Source organism: Homo sapiens, chromosome 18, assembly GCF_000001405.40.
Source record: "Homo sapiens chromosome 18, GRCh38.p14 Primary Assembly".
NCBI lineage: Eukaryota > Metazoa > Chordata > Mammalia > Primates > Hominidae > Homo > Homo sapiens.
In genome coordinates this window covers 44,458,932-44,486,785 of record NC_000018.10, presented here as the reverse complement: position 1 = coordinate 44,486,785, position 27,854 = coordinate 44,458,932, and the positions used below count along the sequence as shown (strand labels likewise).

The following is a 27,854-nucleotide window of genomic DNA, read 5'->3' as shown; positions in this document are numbered from 1 at the left end:
GTTTTAGAGTTTTCTAAGTATAAGAACATACTGTCTGTGAACAAGGATAATTTGGCTTCTTCCTTTTCAATTTGAATGCCATTTATTTCTTTATCTTACCTAATTTCTATGGCCAAAACTTTCAGTATTATGTTGAATAAAAGTGGTGAAAGTGGGCATCCTTGACTTGTTCTAAATTTTTAGAGAAAAGGTTTTTAAGTTTTCCCCATTCAGTCCGATGTTTGCTATGAGTTTGTCATATTTGGCCTTTATTAATTTAAGATTATGTTCCTTCTATGTCCAGTTTAAGTGTTTTTTATCATACGGGGATATAGAATTTTATCAAATACTCTTTCAGCATCTATTGAAATGACCACATGGGCTTTGTTCTTGGTTCTGTTAATGTGTGTATCACATTGATTGTTTTGCATATGGTGAACCATGTTTTCATTCCAAGTGGAGAGTATCCAGTGGGATATTCCCACTTGCTTATAGTGATTTGGTTTTTTCACTGTGTTGCTGAATTTTGTTTGCTAGGATTTTATCAAGGACTTCTGCATCTATCTTTATTAGAGATGTTGTCTGTAGTTTTCTTTTTTTATTGTGTCTTTGTCTGGTTTTGGTATCAGGGAAATACTTGCTTTGTAGAAGGAGTTAAGAGGTATGGCCTTTTCTTTATTTTTCTGAAAAGTTTGAGTAGAATTGGTGTTAGTTTTTCTTTAGATGTCTGGTAGAATTCAGCAGTGAAGCTGTCAGGTCCTGGGCTTTCCTTTGATTGAAGAAATTTTACATTGTTCTGGTTTTCTATTTGTTTGTGGTTCAATCTTGGAAGATTGTATTTGTCTAGGAATGTATTTGTTTCTTCTAGGTTTCCGAATTTGTCAGTATATAGTTACTCATAGAGGTCTGTAATAAATTTTTTGTGTTTCTGAGGTTTCAGTTGTTATGTCACAATTTTTTTGTCTAATTTTCTGTATTTGGGTATTCTCTTTTCTTAGCCTTGCTAAAGGTTTGTCAATTTTATTTATCTTTTCAGAAAAACAAATGTTTATTTCTGCTGGCATGGTGGCTCATACCTGTAATGCCAGTACTTTGGGAGGCCAATGTGGGCAGATCACTTTAGGTCAGGAGTTTGAGGCTAGCCTGGTGAACATGGTGAAACCCCTCCTCTACTAAAAATACAAAACTTAGCTGGGTATGGTGGCAGGTACTTGTAATCCCAGCTACTTGGGAGGCTGAGGCAGGAAAATAGCTTGAACCTCGGAGTCAGAGGTTGCAGTGAGCTGAGATTGAACCACTGTACTGCAGCCTGGGTGATAGAGTGAGACTCTGTCTCAAAAAAAAATATTGCATTGATATACTGATTTTATTTTTGTCCTAATTCCCTTTATTTATGCTCTAATTCATTACTTATTTCCTTCTACTATTTTGGGTTTTGTTTGTTCTTGTTTTTCTAGTTTCTTGAGGTACATAATTAGTTTTTATATTTGAAGTCTATATGTTTTTTGTTATAGATACCTATTGCTATAAATTTATCTTTTAGTACTGCTTTTGTGGTATCCCACAGAGTTTGGTATGTTGTATTTCCATTTTATTTGTTTCAAGAAATTTTTGTTTCCCTCATAGTTTCTTCATTGACCAAATGATCATTCAAGAACATGTTGTTTAATTTTTATGTATTGAGTATTTTACAAGTTTTCTCTTGTTATTGATGTCTAGTTTTATTTCATTTTGTCAGAAATTATTTTTCATGTAATTTCAAGATCTTTGAATTTGTTGAGACTTGTTTTATGGCCTAATATATGGTTTATTCTGGAGAATGTTCCATGTGCTGATGAAAATAACAGGTATTCTCCTAAGGAATCATCAGTTAGGCCTATTTGGCTTCAGGTGTAGTTTAAGTTTGATGTTTCTTTGTTGATTTTTGTCTGGATGATATGTCCATCACTGAGAATGGGGTGTTGAAGTCCTCTACTATTTTTGTATTTCAGTTTATCTCTCCCTTGACATCTATTAATGTTTGCTTTATATGTTCTAGAGCTCCAGTGTTATGTGTGTATATGTTTAGAGTTATTATATCCTCTTGCTAAATTGATCCCTGTATCATTATTTAATGACTTTGCCTATTTTTACGTTTTTGGTCTAAAGTCTGTTTTATCTGATGTAAGTATAGCTATTCCTGTTCACTTTTGGTTTCCATTTGCATGAAATATCTTTTTTCATCTCTTTACTTTCAGTCTGTCTGGGTCTTTATAGGTTAAGTGGGTTTCTTGAAGGCAGCATATATTTGGCTCTTGTTCCTTTATTCGTTCAGCCATGCTATGCCTTTTAATTGGAAAATGGAGTTCATTTATATTTAGTGTTTTTATTGATAACTAAGGACTTGCTATTGCCATTTTGCTACTGGTGTTCTGATTGTTTCATAACTCCTCTTTCCTTTTCTTAGTGTATTTTTTTGTGATTGAGTGATTTTGTTTTGTGATTGTATGTTCTAAATTGTTGCTTTTCATTTTTGTTAATTATAAAATATAATAGTTATTATAATTATATGTTCTCATATTGTGGTTTCCATGAGGCTTACCAAAAACATTGTATAGGTATAACAAGTTATTATAAGGAGATGACAATGTATCTTAGATTGCAAAAAAGGAATAGAAACAAAGAAAAAAGCTTAGTACTTTAATTTCATCACCCCCACATTTTGACTTTATGTTTTCTCAAGTTAAAATATAAATTAATAAAAATATTGCCATCTTTCAATAGGTTGCTGGAGCTATTATTTTGGATAAAGTTGCCTTTTGAGGTTTATATTAAAGTTACCAGTGGATTGGACACTAGAATAATGTTATTAGTGTTATTAGAGTATTCTGGGTTTGTCTGTGTATTTAATTTTATCAGTGAATTTTATATCTTCAAATGTTTTCTTGTTGCATGTCAGTGTTTTGTTTTCTTTCATTTTCAGATTGAAGAATTCCCTTTAGCATTTCTTGTAAGATCATTCTGATGGCAGTGAATTCTCTCAGCTTTTGTTTATCTGGGAAAGACTATCTCTCTTATCTAAAGGATAGCATTACTGGATACAGTGTTGTTGCATGGCAATTTTTTTTTCTTTCAAGACTGTGAAATTATTGTCCCGCTTCCTCTTGACTTGTATGATTTCTATTGAGAAATCTGTTACCAGAATAATTGGAATAAAATAATTATTAGATGCATTGGGGTGGTCTTATTTGGGTTGAATTTGTTTGGTGTTCTCTGACTCCTGTACCTAGGTTTTTATCTCTTTCTCAAGTTTTGGAAAGTTTTCTGTCCTGGTCCCTTTATATGCCATGGATTAACTCACCAGTAAAAATACACATCAAGTCTCTGTTAATGGAGAATAGTGACTAGCACTGAAACTCCCACCCTCACTCCCAGGGGAAAATTTGCATTCACAAAATGGCCAACATTTTTACAAATGAGTCTGTTAAAACTCATGTATTTGAGTTTGTCAATCAGTATTGTTGATGGCTTTGAGCCATTCTTACAGAAGTTTTCAACTCTGACATTAGTATGAAAAAAATCATCTTATGCTTTTACAATTTTCTGTTTTGGTATTTAAATCTTTAATTTTGCTGATACTTATTTTTTTGGAAGAAAGAGAGGCCTGATGTAGTTATTCTATAGCTGGATTCTGCAGCTTTTCAGGTAGACCACAGATTAATGGGAAAAAACAGCACATAAACAGAGAAGCCCACACAGTATTTTCAGAAGAGAGTTAGCTACCCGGGACAGGAGGAGACACAGGGCTGCTCACAGGCACATCCCTTGGCTTTCAGAGTCTTGAATGATGTCCAGGAGCTGTGAAACATTTGTTTCTCTCAACGGCAGGGCATGCTGAATCAGGAATGCTTAGATAGTGCCATGCCACAACCCTTTTTGACTTGCTGTGTATGATCCCTCCAGAGAAATGCATATAATAACATACAACACACACACAACACACACGCACACACACACACACACACACATCCATCCCAACTAGGCGTTTTTATTTATTGAAATATATAGAAACATCCAGTTATGCTGTAGAAGCTCTCTGTCAGCAGACCCATATTATCACCTGGGAGAGAACAGTGAGGCCCACATCCACGTGCTGTTGAACAAACATCTCAGCTTCTCATATCCTATTATTCTGGAAATCTATTTCTTCCTAGCTACCCATTTGTCTCAACACAATATATTGACTGCAGCTTTCTCCTCAGTTATTTGAAACACCTCCTCCTGTATCAAAGACAAAATTCCCATGAGCATTTACATCAATTCTGGACTCTATTCTGTTTCATTTATTTTCCTGTCTAGCCCTGTATTGGTATCCACCTACTTGTGCTAAGGTTGTTATTATATTTTCTCTCTGATGGGCTAGTTTTTTTCCCCCTAACACTTTTGTTTTAGGTATCTTAGGTATCTTCTTGTTATGGATGCATAGTTTTTTTCTACATAAACTAGTTTGCTGTGTTCTCTGTCAAGGCTGATTCATTAGTAGAGAAAACATGAGAAAAATCAAAGTAAGAGAATGATACAGTGCTTGATTTACACAACTTAGAATCTTAATAATGAATCTGTCAGTACTACAACTCTGTTATATGCCCACTGAACATAGGAAGACAAATATTATCTGTAGATATATAAAGTAGAGCCTTGGACAACACGAGAGTTAGGAGCACTGGCTACCCTGCCCCCATGCAGTTAAAAATCCACAAATAATTTTGACTCACCAAAAGCTTAACTACTGATAGCCTACTGTTGACCAGAAGCCTTACTGATAACATATTCAATTACCACATATTTGGTATGTTATACTGATTGTATACTGAAGTATTCATATGATCAAGTAAGCTAGAGAAAAGAAAATATTATTTAAAAAATCATAAGAAATAGAAAATAGATTTACTATTAAGTGGAAGTGGATCAACATAAAGGTCTTTATCCTTCTCATCTTCATGTTGAGTAGATTGAGGAGGAGGAGGAAAAGGAGGGGTTGAGCTTGCAGTCTCAGGGATGGCACAGATGGAAGAAAATCTGCAAGAAAATTTGTGGACCCATGCAATTTAACACATGTTGTTTAAGAGTCACCTGTATACATATCTGAGACACACACACACACATACACACACATATATACATATGTATATATGTGTATATGTAAAAGCTTACTAATTGTTTTTAGTAGTTATTGAGAGACCAGTAGGAATTTTGGCAAAAACTCAGGAAATACAATGTAAAAATCAGAAAAGCTTTCACAGGTAAGTGACCAGAGGTGTAATTTAAAAAACAGCAAGTGTATTGTTTCTTAGAACTCTAGCTGCCCTAAAAGTGAAGGCCTCACTCAGGCTTCAAATACAGCTGGGTTTAGGTGGGTAAGTTAGGGTAGAAACTTAGAAGAGCTGAACTATTCTGTACAATTATGAATAAAGTTATGGGGACCTGGAAGAAAGGGACCAGCAAGGTGGGCCAATACCTGGGCAGAGAGGAGAGACTTGAGATGCCTCAGAGACAGAGCAGCCCAAAAGATACAAATATTACTAAATTTAAATTATCACATTGTTTGCCCATGAGATGTGCTATCACCGATTTCCCACTCTGTCCCCCGTATAGTGGCTTTATCAGGCTGCATTGCTCACTCTTGTTTTTTTGTGAAAGTGGATTCCTTTGCAGAAACTTGAAATGGGAAGCTGAGTTCTATGCCTGGGATAATACAATGCAAGACCAGATTATGTAGGAAAGCTGAGTTTGAGGACACAGGAAATCCTGAAAAGCCTAAAGATCTGAGAGTTAGCAAAAATCCATGGGCCAACTTCAAACTTGGAGGGCTGCAGAATTAGTGACATCCGAGCTGAGAATAACAAAAGGTAAAGCTGGCTGATTTGTATTTGCATACTGTAAAATTGCACTAAACTATATATAAGACATACCATAAATTTGGAGTTGGAAAGTAGCAAAGCCCAGAGAAGGATGGAGGGATTTAGCCATCTAGTCTGTGCTGTGGGGTCTGGATGGTGGAGGCAGGGATGGGAGGTTCAACTTCCACGTTGTGGCCCCTTCCCCATCCTTGAGAGCCATTGTTGACTGTTCCATGGCTCTCTGATGCAAGCCTGAATCTCTAGGCCAAAATACACAGGTTCAGGGCCCAGTGCTCAGGGCCCAATGCTCAGTGCTGCTCAAAGCAGCCACACTGTATTAGTCTGCACTTGCACTGCTATAAAGATACTCCCTGAGACTGGGTAATTTATAAAGAAAAGAGGTTTAATTGAGTCACAGTTCCACATGACTGGGGAGGCCTCAGGAGACTTATAATCATGGTGGAAGGTGAAAGGGAAGCAAGGCATGTGTTCACAAGGAAGCAGGAGAGAGAGAAAGCACAGGGGCAACTGCCACTTTTAAACCATCATCTCTTGAGAGAACTCCTTCACTATCGTGAGAACAGCATGGGGGAAACTGCCCCCATGATCCAATCACCTCCTTTTATTTACATGTGGAGATTACAGGTCCCTCCCTCAACATGTGGGGATTACAATTTGAAATGAGGTCTGGGTGGAGACACAGAGCTAAACCATATCATTCCACCACTGGCCCTTCCCAAATCTCATGTTCTTTTCACATTTCTAAATCAATCATGCCTTCCCAACACTCCTCCAAAGTCTGAACTCATTCCAGCATTAACCAGAAAGTCCAAGTCCAAAGTTTTATCTGAGACAAGGCAAGTGCCTTCCATCTATGAGCCTGTAAAATAAAAAACAAGTTAGTTACTTCCAAGGTACAATGGGGGCCAGGCATTGGGTAAATGTTCCAGTTTCAGATGGGAGAAATTGGCCAAAACAAAGGGGCCACAGGCTCCGTGCAAGTCTGAAACCTAGTCAGGCAGTCATTAAATCTTACAGCTCCCAAATCTCCTTTGACTCCATGTCTCACATCCAGGGTGTGCTGATGCAAGGGGTGGGCTCCCACAGCCTTGGGGAGCTGTGCCCCTGTGGCTCTGCAGGGTACAGCCCCTGTGGCTGCTTTTGTGGGCTGGCATTGAGTGCCTGCAGCTTTTCTAAGCACACAGTGCAAGCTGTTGGTGGAGTTACTGTTCCGGGGTCTGGAGGATGGTAGCCCTAGGCAGTGCCCCATTGGAGACTCTGTGTGGGGGCTCCAACACCACATTTCCCCTCTCCGTTGCCCTGGTAGATGTTCTCCATGAGGGCTCCACCCTGGCAGCAGACTTCTGTCTGGATATCTAGGTGTTTCTATACATCCTCTGAAATCTAGGCAAAGGTCCCTAAACCTCAACTCTTGTCTTCTGTGCACACATAGACCCAACACCACATGGAAGATGCCAAGGCTTGGGGTGTGCACCCTCTGAAGCCACAGCCTGAGCTGTACATTGGCCTCTTTTAGCTGGAGCTGGAGCAGCTGGGATGCAATGCACCAAGGTCTGAGGCTGTACAGAGCAGCAGGGCCCTGGGGGCAGTCCACGAAACCATTTTTCCTTCCCAGGTCTCCAGGCCTGTGATGGGATGGGCTGCCATGAAGATCTCTGACATGCTCTGGAGACATTTTTCCCATTGTCTTGGGGATTGACATTTGGCTCCTCATTACTTATGTAAATTTCTGTAGTTGGCTTGAATTCCTCCTCAGAAAATAGGTTTTTCTTTTCCACCACATGGTCCAGTTGCAAATTTTCCCAAATTTTATGCCCTGCTTCCCTTTTAAACATAAGTTCCAATTTCAGACCATCTCTTTGTGAACACATATGACTGATCACTTTCAGAAAAAGCCAGGTCACCTCTTGAACACTTTGCTGCTTAGAAATGTCTTCAGTCAGATACGCTAAATCATCTCTCAAGTTTAAAGTTCCACAGATCTCTAGGGCAGAGGCAAAATGGCACCAGTCTCTGTTAAGCACAGTAAGAGTAACCTTTACTCCAGTTCCCCATGAGTTATTCATGTCCATCTGAGACCACCTCAGCCTGGACGTCATTGTCAATATCACTATCATTTTGGTGTAAACCATTCAACAAGTCTCTAGGAAGTTTCAAACTTTCCCACATCTTCGTGTCTTCCTTTGAGCCCTCCAAACTTTTCCAACCTTTGCCTGTTACCCAGTTCCAAAGCAGCTTCCACATTTTCAGGTTATATTTACAGCAGTACCCCACTCTGCTGATACCAATTCTGTCAGTCTGTTCTCATGCTGCTATAACGATACTATCTGAGACTGGGTAATTTATAAAGAAAAGAGGTTTAGTTGACTCAGAGTTCTGCATGGCTGAGGTGGCCTCAGGAAACTTTTAGTAATGGCAGAAGGTGATGGGGAAGAAAGGCATGTCTTCACAAGGTGTCAGAAGAGACAGAGTACAGGGAAAAGTGTCACCTTTAAACCTTCAGATCTCATGAGAACTCCCTCACTATCATGAGAACAGCATGAGGGAATCCCCGCCCACCATTGAGCCAACTGCTTCCCTCCCTGGATGCTTGGGGATTGGAGGTCTCTCTCTTGACACCTGGGGATTACAATTAGAGATGAGACTTGGGTGGGGACACAGCCAAATCATATCACAGGCCCTTTTGATAATGGAGACAGATCTCTGTTTTCTGAACAGCCATGGAGTTCCATGGATGAGCTCAAGTGCAACCTAATGGGTCATTTTATCTATCCTTTTCTTCCTGTGTGATAGGGGGCTCTTCCTTCTTTTTCTTCACTCCCTCTGGATAAATCCATTTGTGAAAAAACACAGAAATAAATAAGGTGAGGGAATCCTAGATCCAACCCCCTAGTGTAGATGGGCTGGTGTTTTTCTTATTCCTTTTCCCACTTAACTCAGTCAATTGTATTACTGCAGCAGACATCTGAGGTGGACCCTGTTGGGAAAGATTAGAACATTTTCCTTCTGGAGAACAGGGTGAGGACAGAGGTTTTCTATCCAAAACTCATAAATCAATTTACCTGGGAGTGATAGAAGACTCCAGGGTAGAGGATAGAGTCCCAAACCCTGTGATTCTCTGTCCCTGGAATGATTATTGAGTGAGTATAAAATGTAAAATATGTCTAGAGGAACAGAGTCAGGCAATGATAACTCATTACTTCTCTTATCTGATGTTTCTGGGCCAATGCTGTGTCTTAGGAATGATTCTTAAGAGCCAGCCTGAGACTCTGAAAGCCTCTGATTAGATGTTCAAAACGGCTCTGATCTCAGGGAACAGACTTATGTCTGATGGAGCATATATGCGCCTAAGATCAGCAATTCTGTACCTGTCCTCAGCACTGATTGGAAAATTTTTGGAAGCTCATAAGCAGAAAGCCCTTCTTTCTGAGACTTTTGAATAATTAACAATAGCAAATATTTTTACCTTCTGTGAAAGAATAGGAAGAATGAAACAGTCTCACATTCAAGCTAGAAAGTCATATTATTCATGAATAATGATGGTCTCCAGTTTGTGTAAAGAGATGAGAGTGATAACTGAATCCCAGACCCTCATTCTTTCAAGGTCAATGCAGTCAAGGGAAGAATGTCCTCACCTGACCCCATAACCTCTCAGGAAATCCCTCATCAGACTTGGCTTATCCAGGGACCCTACTGGTCACTTGCTCCCATCATCCACTACTGATCTCTCTACTTCAATACAGCACAGACCATCATAATGCTGACTCAATCTGACTTGCTTCCCTTTCTGTTGTGTACAGTCTCAGAGAGCTCGTCTTCAGAGTGTTGGCCTCTTCTTTTCCAACATTCTTACACCTGGGAATTTCATCACTTGCTATTTCAGCCTCCTACTAGAGGTGCTTGTCTGGTGAGAGATTGTTCTGTTCATCTTCCTGCGTTGGGTTTTTCACAAAGGCTGTCTTTCCTTGTATTGCCCACTGGCCTCTCTTTTGAGATACCCTGCAATGAGGTTTGAAGGAGGCTAATGGCTTCTTTATTATCTTAAGCTTACCATACAGATGCTCCTGGATATATGAGTCAAAAAGAGAATGGATATTCCGATGTGGTTAGATAAATAAAAGCAGGAGAGGTCATTTCCAAACAATTGAAGCAGGACTATGAACTGAATTCTAAAAAAGCCTTAGAATTACTTGCTGGTGAGCAGGATGCCCCAGCTCCTTATACCTTCCTGAGCTTTGAAGGAAAACCAGACCAATTGTACAGGAAAACCATCAAGATGCAAGTCTACTGCTTGCAAATGCAAATTAAGAGAAAACCTGAGGGCCAGTGGCATTGGGAGTTCTCAAACTCAACATAGAAAAGCAAATAGTCTGGAAGGTCCAGTACTTATTTCCTATATCACTAAGAATTTTGGGAGGGCAAGATCTAGGGGAATCATGTCTGAAAGACCATCTTGGAGAATCAAAACTCCAATTAAAGGGAGGAACAGAAGGCCATGGCTGCACCTCTGAAGAACCCCTGACCCAGATATTTTGTCTTTTGAGGACTCTGAGCCCCAGGCCCAGAGTGTGTAAAGAAGAGATATGTACATTTCCAGGTGTACTACATCTACCTGGAGGACAGAGGGAGTGATCTGGTGTGGGAGGAGTACAGGAATTTTAAGGTTCAGGCTCCACAGTGGGGCTAGAACATCAATTTAGACCCAAGTTTAGAAAAGAGTACGCAATCTCCAATCAGAGACTTCAATCCAAAAGAGAATGCAATGTTGGGAACTTCCCTTGCTAGAGAGATGATGATCCACCCTGTCCTGGATGGGGGACCAAGAGGGATGCTATTGACCAAGACACTGTGTCACTATTCCAAAAGGGATAGGCTCCTCAAAAAAGTTAACCCCAGCAAAGGATGAGTCATTGGTTACAGTGGATTTGTCCCAGGAGAAAAGAGAAAAGTCGGCAAGTTCCCCGGAAACAAACTGGATCAGTGTTAGTCTCCACAGTTGCCAACTGTGTCTGAGGCCTCCTCCCTCCACATCTTGCAGTGAGCCAGTGTGTTCCATCAAGCCCCACCTGGACAATGCCCAGGGTGCTAGGTCCCATAGGCTGCCATGAGTACTGTCCTCTGCTCTGTATCATTGCATCTGTTTCCACTCAGCCAAAAGCCCTTCCCTATCCATTTAGTATGGTCTGTTTTACCTATTCCTCAATTTTTTTCTTTAAAAATATATTTTTATATATATTTTTTCAAATAGGAGAATTACTGTCTTTTTCTTTGGAGGATTTGGGGCTGAGGTTTAGGGAGTCCCAGTGGCTTGGGCTTAGATTAAAAACGGAAAAACTTTAGCTCCTGTTGAATGCCTGCTTTGGCTTCTAAAAGAAGCTCTGTTTTGTGATGGGTATTCTTGGAAGCTTTATTTTTGCCAATAATTTTGGTTTGTTTGTTTCTGTCTCTATAAAATGTGCCATGGTGGCAGAAGTCTAGTTTTAAATCTTTTGCTGGACATTCTGTGTGGAACACAACTGAGTGTTTTCAAGTCTAGACCATTCCTCCTGGGGATGTTGGAGGGATCAGTAGCAGTGCCATGCCAAGCCATATTGGAAACGAATTTTGACAAGATGTTTCAGATGGGATATGCTAGCTGCTTCTCACTCATATACCTTTCCTTACATAGTCCTGGAAACCAAAAGTCCAAAATCTTGTTGTTAGCAGGGCAGCTCTCCTTCTGAAATCTCCGGGGGTAAATTCTTTCTTGCCTCTTATAACTTCTGGTAGCATCAAAAGTTCCTTGGCTTAGAGCTATGCTACTCCAATCTCTGCCTCCATCTTCATATGGCCTTCTCTTATGTCATTAAGCATTTAAGCAGTAGACATCTGTATCTATTGAAATGGAACTGCCTGGGAGTCTCTAGGTAAGCAGGCAGCTGAAGTCACCCTGGAGAGGCACAGCACCAACAGGGACTCCCATCACATTGGTAGAAAGTTTCAAATTGCCATTGTGTGATCACAAATCTTGAGCCATGGAAAACAGATAATTTACTGCCTATTTGCAAAGAAGTCAGCCTGGGCTAAAAATGTGGATAAAACTGATTCATTATTCACTGGAGTCTTTATTTCACATTCCAAGAATATACACATAGCCAAGATGTTTGTAGTAAAGCTGGCAAAATCACCTCTGCAATAAGTCATCTTCCTCTGGGGTTGCAGGGCTGGTCTACATGAATGAATTTAGTTTTTCCCCTTACATTCTAAAACTGCAGTTACTACACCTTCTTTCAGTGAATGTTTTTTTCTTTTCCTTCCTGCTAGCAACATCAACAGAGCAGTTTATCATTGATTACTTGAAAATAGATCGAATTAATAAGCCATAAAAGTTAACACTGGCACCTACTGTGTGCTCCTCTTTTTCCCCTGATTACTTCCCAGAAGCAACACTCTAGAGCCTGTACTGTTTAGGATATGAAGCAATGGATGTGGCAGTTGGTGGAAATATTTCCAAGGGAGGGGAGGCAATTGCCAGCACCCCAACAGCTTGCAAGGCAGGTGGCTGCCTGGCCTGATGTGCTTCCCAGGGATGCTGGCTGTCTGTCCAGCTCTTATTGTGTTTGATGCAATTCGGTCTCTACTAAGCAGTCACGGATCAAAGGGCTTTTGACAACAAATGAAATCAGAAGAGGACAGCAATTTGTCATCCTTCCCTCTAAGCTGACCCCCATGACGCTGGCTCATTAATATAAGAAACCACAACAGTTTCTTATAGGGCCAAGCCTGGGCTAGATGGTGGAGGGGTGCTTGTAAGCAACCCCCTGGCTACTGCTTCTTGAACATAACCCATTGGCCTGCTGCAGCCTAAAATTTTGCCTTTAAGGGATCACTCTTTATCTCCCTAGACAAATAGTTCCTTATGAAAAAACAAACTCCCCTGGAGGGTTAGTACTACATTGTCCCTCACATTTTTTCTTGGATTATATTGTCAGATTTTTTTCAAGATAGCTGGGTAGCCCAGAGGCAATCAATGGGAATGAAAATATGGAGTGTTGCCTTTCCCAGCCAAGGCAAGAATGGAGTGCCATAGATTCTGAGGATAGCAGAAGACACTGAGGCATCTGGGTCCCTGGGAGTCACACAGAACAAGAGATGTGTCTTGACAAATCAAATCTGCATGCTGGAAGGGTAACAGGGAGAAAATAAAGGTGAGAGAAAGTGAAAGGATGCAAGAAAGAGAAAGAATGAGAACAAGAAAGGAAAATCCATTACTTCAGAGAGTATGGTTGTATCTATCACTGTGCCAGCCACTCCCACATGCATTTTATTTCACTGAGTCTTCACAACAGCTATGTCAGGGCTTTATTATCTTCCTGCTACACAGATGAGGATCTTAGACTGAAAGGAGATTAGGGGCTTGCCCAAGCTGGGGCATGGGATACGTAGGATAGGTTGGAAGGCCAAACAGAGGTGCTCCCACACTGAGGCACAAGAGGTCCTGCTTACAGGCTGTGCCGTTGGGGGTGGGGGTGTGTGTGTGTGTTGGGGGGAGTCCAGGAGCATAAAATCCTACCTAAAAAACCGACAGTGATGTGTTTTTCTAGATTACTATGTAAACATTACATACCTATAAATAGGTATGGATAACACCTTAACTCAGATTATTGGATCAGGTTAGCTCACGTTAGCATAGAGGAACTTAACAATTCTAGAGCTGGGAAATAGAAGGAAAAGTAAGTTTTGATGGAAGAAGGGAGATGAAACAGTATGGAATAGGGGGTGTGGCAAAAAACAGACCTAAAGGGATGGCACAGAACTGGGAAGGCAACTGCTGCAAAGTGACTTGGTCTATACAGTGTCATTTCCTAGATAAGTGTTTTTCAAGTTTTGAGTTGTGGTTTAAAATAGATGAAAATAAAATAGAATATAAAACAGTAAATTACATAATGTAAAGATAAATATCTCATGAAACCTTGCTTTCAGTTATGAGTAGTTGTATGAATATGCATACTGGATTATGATACTAGGTATACTTTTTGGTCAGATTTTAATGTGTATAGATTTTTGGGGGGAGTTTATTAAAACTTCATGACTGAGCCCCACCTTTGCCAACATAGGAGCTGTGAGATGAGTCCCAGAAATTTGCATTCTTTTTTTTAAATGGAGTCTCGCCCTGTTGCCAGGCTGGAGTGCAGTGGCACGATCTCAGCTCACTGCAGTCTCTGCCTCCCGGGTCAAGTGATTTTCCTGCCTCAGCCTCCCGAGTAGCTGGGACTACAGGCACACACCACCACGCCTGGCTAATCTTTTGTATTTTTAGTAGAGACGGGGTTTCACCATGTTGGCCAGGATGGTCTCCATCTCCTGACCTCATGATCCACCCACCTCAGCCTCCCAAAGTGCTGGGATTACAGGTGTGAGCCACCTGCCCAGCCGAGGCCAGAAATTTGCATTTTTAATAAGCTCCTCAGGAGCCACACTTTAGGAAATATTGGTCTTGGGACACCTTTGGAGGAAGGAATCTGCTTGAGGATACACTGCAACTCACACCCAGAGTGGAAATAACTGAAAATATAACCATATGGCATTTAGTTTTAAAGAAATTTCATGTTGACTACTAACTCAACACATTTCACAAAATATTCCAGGGAAATGAGCTTGGCGAAATATTTTTTTAATCTTCGATGAAGGGCAATTTGAAGGCCACCAGAAGGCTCTTTTCTAATATCCATCTACTCATTCATTAATCCATTCATCATTTATCCATCCAAGGGCTATTAATAGTTATGAATGTGGGCTCTGCAGTCATCCAGCCTGGGTCTAATCCAGCCTCTGTTCTTTATAAACTGTAATTTTAAATTACTTCACCCTTCTTTTCCTCAGTTTTCTTATTTGCACATGGATGTAGTACTAGTAGTTTCCTCCTAGGATGGTGAGATTAGGTGAAATTGTATATGTGGAGTGTGGGGAGGCTTGCTGGGCACACAGCAACCACTCAGGAAGTGTTAATGATTGTTTTCCCTGGAACATTCATTCACTGTTTTCTGTGTGATGAGCCCTTGATTTGCATGCAAAGGGGTGACAGCATAGCCTGCCGACACATGGCTTGATCAGACACTCAGTGGCCCCGCATTTCATAAGTTAGCCCTCAGCTCCTGAGCTTGCTCTTCTATCCTTTAGAGGCTGATGACCGGATCTTTCTGGCTTCATCCACTGTAGCCATATAGAGTGTCTGTGTATCCTAAAATATACCATTTACTTCCTGGAAAATAAAAACTTACTATTGCAGGACAGGGGAGCCCCAAAATTGCGGTTTAGCCTGGGAGGGTTTTTGGCTTCACCCATGAAAGAATTCAAGAGCAAGAAAGTGGTTTAAGATAACAATCTTTTATTGAATGATACTGCTCCTTGAGAAGCTGGGCTAACTCATAGGCTGTGCACTCAGACTCCACAATATATAGGCTCTTGGTGACTGTATTTAGACTTGCCTAAGCCCACTTTCAATTACATGCAAATTAAGAGGTGGGTTAGTGCAATTGAGGGACAGGTTATTTGTTAATAGAACATTCTAGGAAAGGGGTAGTAATTCAATGTCTTTGCCCTGGAAAGGATTAGTAACTTCCAAGTTGTTGCTGTGACATTTGTAAATTGTCATGGAGCTGGTGGAAGTGTCTTATGCCAATGAGTAATGAGGGCAGCCAGAAATCATATTTGTTGCCATCTGTTGGTTCCTGCCAGTTTTTTCACTTTATCCTGTCTAGACCGGATTCTGTCTTGGTCAGCAGTGTTATGACCACACAACAAGTCCTGCCAATTTCCTCCTGACTACCTGTTATGGAAGGTGAACTCCTATTATGTCTTCAAGAGTTGTCTCAAAGATTATGGAAGGGGAACCACTATTATGTCTTCAAGAATTGGTTCAAAGAAGAGCTTTCCTAATCTTCCTTCCACTTTTCCCATGGGTCCTTGGTAATCCCCCTCCCAAGGCATTTTCTTTACTCTGTTATAAAGCTCTCCGAATTGATATGATTTGCTTGTTTCAGGCTAAGCCTCCATTTTCCCTGTAATAGGCATAAATTGTTGCCATTCAGACATGTGCAAAGAAAACACTGGTTTTGTTATCTTGACTACAGTTCTTCTTTGAGCTATGAAACCTCAGTTTACTTATATCAGATTACTTTTTCTGTTCTTGTGAATTCAATTTAATTCAGCAAAATTTCAGTTTAATTTGGTTAGTAATAACCAATTTATAATTTTAAACTTACTTTGGCCTTTATCCATTCTTCCTTTATCTTTCTCTCTCTTCTCATTCCCACTTCTAATCCTCGCAGGACCTTTTTCTTTCGGCATATGTGGACTTTGACAGCAAGAGAAAAAATGAAGAATTATGGCAGTTTGGGGGTTTATTCAGGAAATATTCAATTTTATTCTGTCTCCCTAGCAAGGAGATCACCCGGAGGTAGTAGCTGGATCTTCCTTTTGTCTATATTAGGTCAATGGTTCCTTTACCTCCTGTCCTTTGACTAACCTCTTAGTACCTTCCCTTGGGGTTGTAAGAGCCAGGATGTTCATCTTTAAATCTCCCTGAGACCCATAGGCAACTGGTATGGGGATATCCTGCCCTCTTCATCCTGTCCTTCCTAACACACTACACTACAGTTCCTTCAGGCTCCACTGACACAAGGTGCTCCCATGGCTTCACACTCTCTGAAAACTTCAGAAGAGAGGGAGTGCTGGTCTCTATGCTCACCTAATCCCCAACTTCAGAAGATATGTCCAACATGCTGCTACTTTCTTGAGAACAGAGGAAATAGGTCCCTCACACTTTCTAAAATGTGCCATTCTAGTTGCAAAATCTACCCAACCAATTTTGATTTCCTTAGAACTTTGAAGCTGATTAAGGTTTAGTATCCCTCTTCCCCTAAAATAATATCTCTTGGGAGTTGGCCATTTGTAATTGAGCATCATTTTTTAAATCATAAGATCCCATCGTAGTGATCAATGTATCTTTTGCTAGTCATTGGATAGCTAGCTGATACAGGGGATGACAGGGTGAGGAAAAAAGGGTAATGATTAATATTTTATATGTTTATGTAAAATTCTAAGTATCTATAAAATAGGAAATGTAGAATATTTGCCTGTGAATGTCACTATAGCTTGACCAGAATGCCTGGCAAACAATTGTAATGCAATAATTATTTACACAATGAAGGGATGCCCTGAACCCTTATAAGTGATGTCCCAAGAGAATGTGACTAGACTTTAAGAGGATCTCAGTCAACTATAGAAGCTTTGCCATCAGTAGTTGAAGCAAAGGATTCATGCAAAAGAACAGATCCCATAGTTGATGTTATGGGAATAACGATAGATTAGAAGCAAGAAGAACTGTGACCACTGATTAATTAGGGAATCAAGGAAGAGATGCCAACATTTCTCATCCTCGGTTTTCTTTGTCAAATGAATGGTAACATATGATAATTCTAAGTTTCTCTTCAAATTTAAACATTTTATGATATACTCAGCTAAATAATGAAGATGCTGAACCTTGTGTCTACTTAACCATTTTTTCACTTATTCACCAGTAATGCTAGGGCTTCTGCTTTTTCTGAAAAAAAAAAAAAAATCTGGGTAGAGATGATGAGTTTTAGGATTATAATTGCAAAGCTGTCATTAACCTACCATTTAGATGGGTGAAACCTTTGTTCCAGAGTTAACAGTTGGGCTTTCTGATGCCTTCCTAGCCTAAAGGCAGTGAGTACTGCTCTTCACTTGTCCAGGGAGTTAGAGGCCAGTGGAATTGTCTCAGAGGCACAGCTTTCACAAGATGAAAGGCTAGGTGTAGACTCTAGACTCTGTTCCATAATCTAGCCAAAATTGTTCTACTTTCTGTTGGCAGACCCTCATGCTTGGAGTAATCCCAGAGACAATGTAGTTGGAAGTTAGAGAAGGGCTCTCAGCAACATTGACATTAACTCGAGACCTGCTTGGTACAGCTTTTGTAGGTTGATGAGTCAGTTTCTCCTCCAACAGGCACTGTAGGTCTTTGGGAGATATTTTTCTGGCACTTCTCCTTTGGGGCCATGGGAAAATATGTCCACCTGACCCAGGCATTGAGTCTGGGGCATTCTCTTTCATACCACCTTTTCACAAGACTTTGTTATCAGCTCTTCCTGAATCTCCTGACTTGTGTTAATCAAACATTTACAGAACCCTATTATGTGCCAGGTATAGTGTACCATGGTGACAGCAGTAGATGTAAAAATTTTAAAAGACAGACTCCATTTCAAGAAGTCGACAGTCAGAAATAGAGAAAAATGCAAAAACACGTAACTAAATTACAATAGGAGAGATGCTGTAGTAAATCTAAACAGAGGGTTATAACGATCTAGAGGGTAGATTTGCCAGAAAAGGTGAAAATTGAATGCCAGGTTTTATTTGCGTTGGAACTTTCCAGGAAGATAATATGTGAAGGTCCATTCTGGGTTAGGTATAAAGGCAGAGCTGATCACCTGGGTCAGGTGGCCCAGCACATGGTGGCAGTGTCAGGACCTGAACTCGGGATCCAGTTCTAGTCTGTTAGTCTTGTTAGTAATACTAATGTCACATTATATTTCACAATCTACTACATGAATTAGTATAATTTTAAATGCACCATTTTAATAGGAAACTGTGATAATTTCTAATTGGAATAAGTATCAATAGCCACATTTTATTTTCATAGAATAAGCCTTGGAAAAATATATCAAATTAAAATTTCAGGTAACAATAAAATGTTACTGCTAAAAGAAGCTCTACAGATAGTCTTTACTAACTCCTTTATTTTATAGACAAGAGCTCTAAATAGGTCGAGTGACTTGAAAAAAAAAATTAAAAAAAGAATCACGTAAAATCCTCAAGGTCATACTGTGAACCCAGTGTGTAGAATCCAGGTTTCCTGATCCTAAGGTTTGAGAGATTTTCACTAAACAACCTGTCTCTCTAGGCACAGGGCTAAACTGTTTCTATTCCTAGGCAGACATTCTTCAAGGATATATGACAGCAGGTGAACAAATTAAATGCTGTAAAATGTCTTCATGTAGGTCCTTATTTGGAGGAAAGAAGAGGGCAGAGCAGAGGGGAGGAGGGAGAGCACAGAAAGGTAGCTCAGGCAGTCCCTCTACTGAGCTATGCCTGTTGATATCCCAGCTTTTGAGGTCAGCTGTGCTCATCTCCTACTCCAATAGAGGAGCCAGACAGTAAACTACTTCATTTAAATTATGTTCTCATTCCACTGAGCACGGGACACAATTCTCTTGTATTTTCTGATAAGGCTGATAATGAAGTGATCAGTCTATAGGATCCCCGAGTGGCAGTGAACCTGCATTTGCATAATGATATTATAGCATCTGTTGAACCCACTAGTGGTAATCCATCCATATGCAAGAAATATAGGTCAGCAAAGACACAGCAGCAATGAGAGAGGCAGGGCTATTCACTTATTGGAGTAAGGAAGGTCTTCTCTATCCTTTAGCTCAGCAGGACAGAAACAAATGGAATGGAATAGATCAAGGGATTCTATTGGCTTTTGAGCAATAAAAGGAGATGCATCAATTTTGTCTCATGGTTGAAATTCCATTTAAAATGTACTTAACCCTGTCATTTCTATTAGCAGAGTATTCCTCCTACACTTCTCTGCCTAACTCAGAAGAGGTAGTGCGCTCTAATAGCAATGTGTGCAGAGAGATCAGGAGTCATGGTTCCCCATTTAGTGGGGTTTGGGCAGTAATGGTTAAGGAAATTAAGTTTCATGGTTCTCCCTTGTGTTACCTGACCCCTATCATCCTTCCTGTTTCAAAGATCTGTGAGATTTCCTGCCCAAACATGTCTTTCCATTTGGGGCCTTTTATTATTCTATTTATTGTCTTTATATTCATTTTAGAACCTCGTGTACTCTTCTATCATACTTTTCCTGTGCTCTTCTTCCCACTGTCTCTCTGAATCTTGTGTGTAAATAATAGATCTTGCTTCTTTTAATACAACAATTGTGCGTTTGCCAAAGGCAAATCCCTGGCCTTGTTTTTCTTCTGGAACTCACTTACCAAAGCCCCTATTCAGGCTGGACACACATGGAAGGCCTTCTAAGACTCAACTGAATTGCATTAGATTTATAGTATCACCATAGAATTAACTTCAAGGAGGCTAAGAGACCTTAAGAGATCATGTAGATCATCTCAGAGCCAGGCAGTAGTACAACTACAACATCTAGGGGAAATGGCTGTATGGTTTATCCTTATTTTTTTTTTTTTTTTGAGACAGAGTCTTACTCTGTCTTCCAGACTAGGGTGCAGTGGTATGATCTCGGCTCCCAGGTTCAAGTGATTCTCCTGCCTCAGCCTCCTAAGTAGCTGGAATTACAGGAGTGCACCACCACACCCAGCTAATTTTTGTATTTTCAGTAGAGACAGGGTTTCACCATGTTGGCCAGGCTGGTCTTGAACTCCTGACCTCAGGTGATCCACCCTCCTCTTTGGTCCCCCAAAGTGCTGAGATTACAGGCATGAGCTACCATGCCTGGCCATCCTTAAAATTTTTAAATGATGTATACATTATCTCAACTAAAACCTAACTCTTGTAATAGCTATTGTAACACATTTTATTTGGAAAGATGTTTTCAATCAGAATGGCAAGATACTATAATTGTCCTCTAATGATTCAGCGGTTATTAACAAAAAGAAATTGACTTTATATCACTATGTATATACAGATGAAGTGAGATAAAAATATATGTAAGAAAACATCTGTTTATTGGAATGTTCCTTGTGTTCATACTTTATTAAAATGAATGTGTTAAATTACTCTGAAGGAAAATACGTATGCAGTCTACACGTATATAATGACCCCACACTTATTCATATACATACTCATACATCTTTTACACCAATTAGACTATGGCCATTTTTTTTGTGTGTGATAAAAGACATTTTGGGATAACTGGAAGGGAAAACTCCTTATTGCCTGGAAGTAAGTTCAATGTGATGATTTTGTGGACAGACTGCAAGTGGCTATGTTGTTTAACACAGGGTTGATTTCTAAGTTAAAATGCTAAGCAAGAAAAGAATCAATCCTAATTCTTGGCTCAACATAGTAGGGCTATTCAGCCCTTGCTAGCTCAACTTGTGGCAAAGGAAGGAACATGAGGTTTGTCTAGTTCCCAGGAACTCTGGAAGCTGTATTATCCCAAATGAAAGAGTTGGACTCGGATGGAAGACAAAAGTTTATTTCTTTTTTGGTTAGACCTCAGTCTTCTTTGTTCTTGATCTCTGATCTCTGGGCTGCCTTCCCACCATCTCCAGGCTCTGCAGCTCTTGCCAGTCTGGATCTTGTCCACAAACTGGAGTCAGTAAAAAAAAAAACGCCTGAACCTAAGAAAATCCAAAGCCAAAATATTATAAATCACTGCCACTGAAGGAGAAAGAAATTACATTTTCCCTTTGTGAACTATGACTGAAGTTTTATGTTGCCTGCCCATCATATTAAACTATGAGATCATGCCTTGGAGTTAGGCATTTTGGCATGTCCTGCAGCTTTTGTTTCCATGGTTGTGGTCAAAGCAATTCTGTGGTCCCTAATTCACCTTGCTGACCTAGCATCTGGGGTGACTCTCTGCTGATAGGGGGCATTTTGTGAGATACAGTACAATTTTAAATGTTACGGTTTTGTTTGGAAAAAGAAACACACCACCCCTCTCCCCTTCCAAAACATCTTCAAGAAAAATACACATCAGATTATCATGCACACGACAACTATGTAAAACTGGAATGACTATTCCCTTAGTCTGATTGTCTTGTTTTATAGAGCAAATGGGGAAAAAATGGGATTTGAATGCTAGCGAAACCATCTGTTTATTGACTGCCTAAAAGACTAAAAGCACTTGCCCCAGAATCTTGGATATAAATGAAACTTGGAACTTCCTTGTTGTTATCTATTGTGTGTCAGAATTTTTGTGGCAATTGAAATGTCACAATTTTTCTTGGAACAACATTCTGGCATCATTTGGTTTATTTATTTTAACTGATGATTTTCATTTCTCATTTTGCATCTAACAACTTCTGACAATGTTTCTTGCAGATAAAAACTTCGTGGGAAATTATTTGGTGTATGTGACTTTTTCTTATACAATATGCTCAGTTTATTTGGGGGTAGCGGAATGTGGGAGAAGAGGATGGATGTTTGACTTGTTTTTACTAATGATTGCCTTGGTATTTTACAAGATTGATGGCTTGCTTTCTTCAAAGGCATCACTGTTCTACTTTCCACAAAGGCAGTTGAAGTCTGACTCAGGACTTTAAGAAATCTCAGTGACCTCATGACTTACCCTGCCTCATTCTTGATCCTTTTGCTGTTATGTTGATGTGGGTGTCACACATTAACATTGAACAAGAATTTTGTTATTGTTGCTGTAATGTTAGCCCAAGCCAACTCCATAATTTGTTCCCTTTTGATGCAATATTGACCCACTTTGGATACTTTCATTCTCCCTTTTTGATTTGATATTAGACAAAAAGTAGACACCATTTATCAAAGTCAATTTTGGGACCCAAAAATATACATTTTATATTTGGTACTAAAAGGCACGCTTGCTTTATTTTATTTATTATTTTTGTGGTTTTTGTTTGAGGGGAGTGGATAGTAGGGGTGGGAGAAACCTGTTAAATTTAAACTATCATGGGTTTCAGAACAACCTGTTATATCAATTATACCATTCAGATTAGTAGCTTGATCACATTAAACAAACTTCTGAACTAATTTGCATGTGTAGACACCGCTTTTTCTGTGGTATTTCTACTGTACGTCCCTTTCCTTTTATGAAAAATAAAATGTAATTAAATAGTGTGATAGATAAATTCCTGTCAGAACTGTTCTTTAAAAACAAAGAATTATTCAAGACACTTATAAAAATGATTGATAAGTACAAAATAGAAAAGGATACCTGGGACCAATATTTAGGCATGGATGGGGCTTTGGTAGGTATAGAAGAGAGGTCAGCAAATTCATTCATTAGCCTTATGAGTCAAAAGGCAAAATCAAAGCTATTATGTAGTTATTTATGTGACAACAGAATAATGTTTTATACATTATTATTAAAATTTTAAAAATAATTATAATAATTCAGTACAATTTTTAAATAAAATATGTGTACTGTAGTGTGTTGAATAGTTAACACTTCCCCCAAAAAGTCATGTTCAATTCTTAATTATTCTAATTATCTGTTAATTGCTTTCTAAATAGTACAAAGAACTAGTTTTCAGATGGTTTATAAAATTCACCAGTTCTTCCAGATAGTGTTTAACTGAACATTCCACACTCCTTCTTTTCTTTTAAAGAGATCTACTTGCTTTAGTTATTTATCAGTCATTCCCACTAAAATGAAGTTTTCTGGTCAATTCCAAAACGTAAAACAGGTCATGATGACCATAAATTTGTAACTGGGGAGATAGTTTTTGGGAAACAGAGATGTAAAGAAGGCTAGGGGTTATTTCAGGGAAGGCCAGCATTTAATCTTAGAGTTGAATGCCAGGAAACCAAAAAGGATAGAAAAATAAAATATCTGGGCAGGGTGTTAGGGAGAATAATGTTTCAATGAAGAGCAATGCAGAAGTAGATTAGGAAGACTTGCTAGAATACAGCTTTGCTCATGGAATAGTGAGAACAGTTACATTTGAATTCCTAGATTATTGCTCCTGGATTTGCTCTCTAATCCAGAGACTAAAAAAGAGTGGAAGAAATACAGGAATGGGTGTTAGAGGACAGCAGAAAACAGGCTAATAAACAAGGCGACACTACTGGCTTGCTGTGCAGTGGAGGAAGGAGTGAGTTAGCAGCCTTCCCTCAAGGCAGAGTGGAAAACAGGCTGTACTACTCTCTGGTTAGAAATACGTATGTGTCCCAATTTTTAAATTTATTATTTTACTTATGGAATCTATATATAAGTCCTTTATTTAAGTTGACTGAAATAGTCACCAAGAATACATTTTAAAAAAGGTGATAGAATATTTCAATAAGGGCATAAAATAATAACTTCAAGGACACGATTTGAATGTTATTCATATCTACTGTTTATTTCTTCAGATTCTCTAAATCAAACTTATGTACAAAGGTGTGGTACATTCCTATTCACTGTCTGACACCTTTTCTCTTCTTTGTTTTCTTTCTTTTCTAAGATCAGTGGCAATAAATGCAAGAGAAAAAACTGCATCAGGAGGGGTACCAGGGAAAAATGGTTTAACAACATCAGAATCACGTCATGGTCATCATGTCTGGAGGCATTGTCAGTTATGATCTTCAGTGCTTCTCTGTCATTTATTAAATGCTTCCAAACTGTTTTTGATTAATGTAAAAATTAATTTAGATACTTTTTCATTTTTTTAGGAGACAGAAATTCAGGAAAAGGTCCACTGACATTTCTAAGCCACTAACAACACCCAGCACATTATAAACAAAACTTCACATTGAGATCTTGCATTAAAAGATTTTAAATTAATTTTATTAAAAATTACACTTTTATGGACCAATTGAATACCCTTATGTAATTACAAAGACTTTATTTGGACAACTACTTGCTAAATCATCAAATAAATTTTAATATGTGCATGCACAGGATTCAATAGCTTCATTTCACAGATGAGGCAACCAAGGCCAACGAATTTTAATGATTTTTCCAGATGGAGTTTTAGCCACTTGAAAAGCAAAACTAGAACTCAGGGACACCTTTGCTGCCAGACTTGTACTTTGTCGTACAGCTAGTGGAGGTAGAATTGGGATTTAGGTACAATTAGTGAGGTTTTATATTCTATGCCCCTAGCCACCACCTTCCACTGCCGCTCTCAATGGAGCCCACCTCTCTCAAATCTGATCTCTTTCACCCCACTACAGACTACTTTCTTTTTGATTGATGGGTTGATTTTCAGCTTGTCTTTATAAAAAAACTATCAGCAAAGAAAACACAAATATGAATTGTCAGTAGATAGCTAAATCAAATCTTCTATCAAGAATAGACACAGCTACATAAGGGAGTTAAGATATAGGACAAAAATCCTAAATTTGCAATACTTTCTTTTTTGAAATTATATTGCTGGGTGGTCTAATGAGCCTTTATATCAGTACATGGAGATATTTCAAAAGTGGATGACACATGTCATTATAACAAATGAATCTGTCTCAGATACTGAACAAGTTCACAGGCTTCAATAAATTGTAGTGTTTTTCATCTCTCACCTGTATTGTGCACACATCACTTGAGTATTCTGGAAGGGAGCTAATTAACATCTCAGAATAAGACTTTTGTTTTTAAGTTGAATAGTTTTTTTTTTCCTTTTACAAAGAATACAGATTAATTTTTCATTAAGTGCATATGGAGATATCTTGCAATGATGCTTCAGAGAGCCCCATAGACATAGGATAATTTGCCTCCACTTCATCATCAAATGAAAATGAAATACTTGTTTAGGGACCAAGAAAGATAGACCAAGACAGCTGAATTATTCACATCTGAAGGTTTCCAGTTCAAATGTTTTGTAAGCTCATTTGCAGCTGGGTTGCAGCAGGCTCCATCCATGTCTGTCTAATGAAACTCATGCTGAAAATCTCAGTTGGAAGTTCACGGATTCAGAGCCATTCATCAAACCTCGTCATAATTATTTAATAAGCAACATTAAATGTTCAGTCAAGTCTTTAACTCATCAGTTCAGTTATCACAGTTTAGTGCATGCAAACATCATTTACAAGGTTTCCTGCTGAACGTTACAGGATACAAATAAACCCCATAAATTAAACCAACCCTCAAAATAACCTTCTCCTGACTGCCTGCCCCCTGCCTCACCTTGTCAATGCTTGAAATGCTTGAAAAGGGTTTCTCAAACGGGCTCCCTCACTAGAAATTTGGGTAGATGAGTGTTTCTTTTAGCTGGTGTCAGTTTCTGTGTGTGTGCATATGCACGCTCTATTGGATCAGCGAAGGTTCACATTTTATCAAGGCTTCATGTGGCTTGCCCCTCTCAGTCCTAGCTGGTACAGGTATGTTCATCACTAATAAGTAAGCATTTTAGGCATTTAAGTATGCATTTAAGAAGTGAACACTTGGCTCTATTGATTTTTCCCATGATAATCAGGACATAATCTAAATGATAGAATTTTATGTAGAGGCGGCACATGAGAGAAAAGAAAGCAAGGAAATTGAGGAGGAGGAGGAGGAGAGGAAAAGGAAAAGCGAGAAGCAGTTTTTAACACAGACGTTCTCAACTGAGCTTGTAGGACAGATTAGTGTGCTGTGACATGTCATGAGTGTGCCACAGAAAATTTGCCAGTAATAAGGGGCTGCATGTTTTGTAATTTACTCCTAAAATATATTAGAATGGATTCAAGGTTATTCCTGTTACATGTCACTGACTCATGTGGATTCCGTTATGCTTTCTTAGGAGGCAGAGAAAGGTTTTGATCACATTAGTGAAGATATTTTTTATAAAACTATCTCTTTATCTAGGCTGCAGCCTTGGGTATGCTGGCTGTACAGATATCTTATTCTGGTGTGTGTGTATATGTGTGTGATTGCATGCATGCACACACATGCTCACGCTAACACGTCTGTGCATGCGGATGAGATTTGTTGCCTTGGGAAACATATGAAAAGGAAATTAGGTGCTCAGAACTGAGGTTCCTCCGGTGGTTCCAGTCAAGTGACTGCAAAATTTCTGGACTGCCGTTTAGGCTGTCGGGAATCAGCAAGCTCCACAGGTTTCTTGGGCAGTGGAATGAATGATGGTTGAGGAGCCCTGAGTTCTAGGTTTCACTCCACTTTTGTCATTAACTAGATGTGTACCCATCTGTAAGTCTTGGTTTGTAAAATTGTAGTGGGTATGCCAGATTTCTGTAAAAATTTTATTAAATGAGTTCTTAAATAGGATATCTCCATATGTACTTTAAAAAAAATAAAATGCCCTTCAAATCCTAAAGTTTCCAGTTTCTACCTCAAGCATGAATATACATGAATAGATATATATTTATATATACATTCTATATATTCTCTCTCTTTATATTTATCTATATATATGCACACACTCATGCTTAAGGTAGAAACTAGAAACCTTAATATATATATGAATTTATAAATTGAAGAAGTTCTCATGAGCAGGAATGATTAATACTTTAAAACTATACTTATTATGATTTGGGGTATACTCCAACTTTTGGGAGGTGCTCCACCCAAATGATGCCAATTCAACGAATATTCATGATCTTTCCTTGGATGAACATAGCACACTGAAATGAAATACTAATATTTTGCACATAATAGTGGACTTGGTGGATATATTGTATTACAAAAGTGCTCTTGAAATTGCTGTTCAAATAATTTCAAGGCCTTACGCAGCATATCATATTTCCTTTGCATTTCGTGCACCCACTCACGATGTTACTGGGATTCTTGTAGCTGATCCTCAGGAGAAACTCTCTCAATTTACAAGGTCTTCTAATTATGCTGTTCCTCTCCCTGAGCCATTCTCTCTTTCTGATTCCTCCCAGAACACACATCTGGTCACCTTGCAGTTATAGTTCAGCTCTCACATACATTGACTTTTCTGAAGAAGTCAAATCTACTTCCAGTTCTCAGTATTCTTCAATTACAACACCGTGTTCTCTCCTTCTTTGAACTTATCACAATGGTAAACTTAGATTTATTTTACTATAGGTGTTGATTGTCTGCTCTACTAGTCTATTATAAATGCCCTAAGATCAGAGAGCAAATCTACTTTGCTCACTGCTATTTTCCCAGAGCCTCTCTCGATGCTTATGATTGTAGATCAGTGAATGTTTGTGGAAAGGATGGTTTGTTCCTGCTCCCCTACTGGCCTAACCAGGGTTATCCAGAGCTAGGAAACAGTACCATGCTCAAGGAGTGATTCATCACTCAGCTCATTCAGTGCACATGCATCTGTTATGTTCCTGTTCTAGGCCAGCCCATGG

At 39.1% G+C, this 27,854-nt stretch overlaps 1 long non-coding RNA gene across 1 annotated transcript in view; it reads left to right on the top strand.

Moving 5' to 3' along the window:
* LINC01478 (long intergenic non-protein coding RNA 1478) overlaps positions 1 to 27,854 on the top strand; it is a 208,263-nt gene that overhangs the window by 44,912 nt on the left and 135,497 nt on the right. The window lies entirely within an intron of this gene.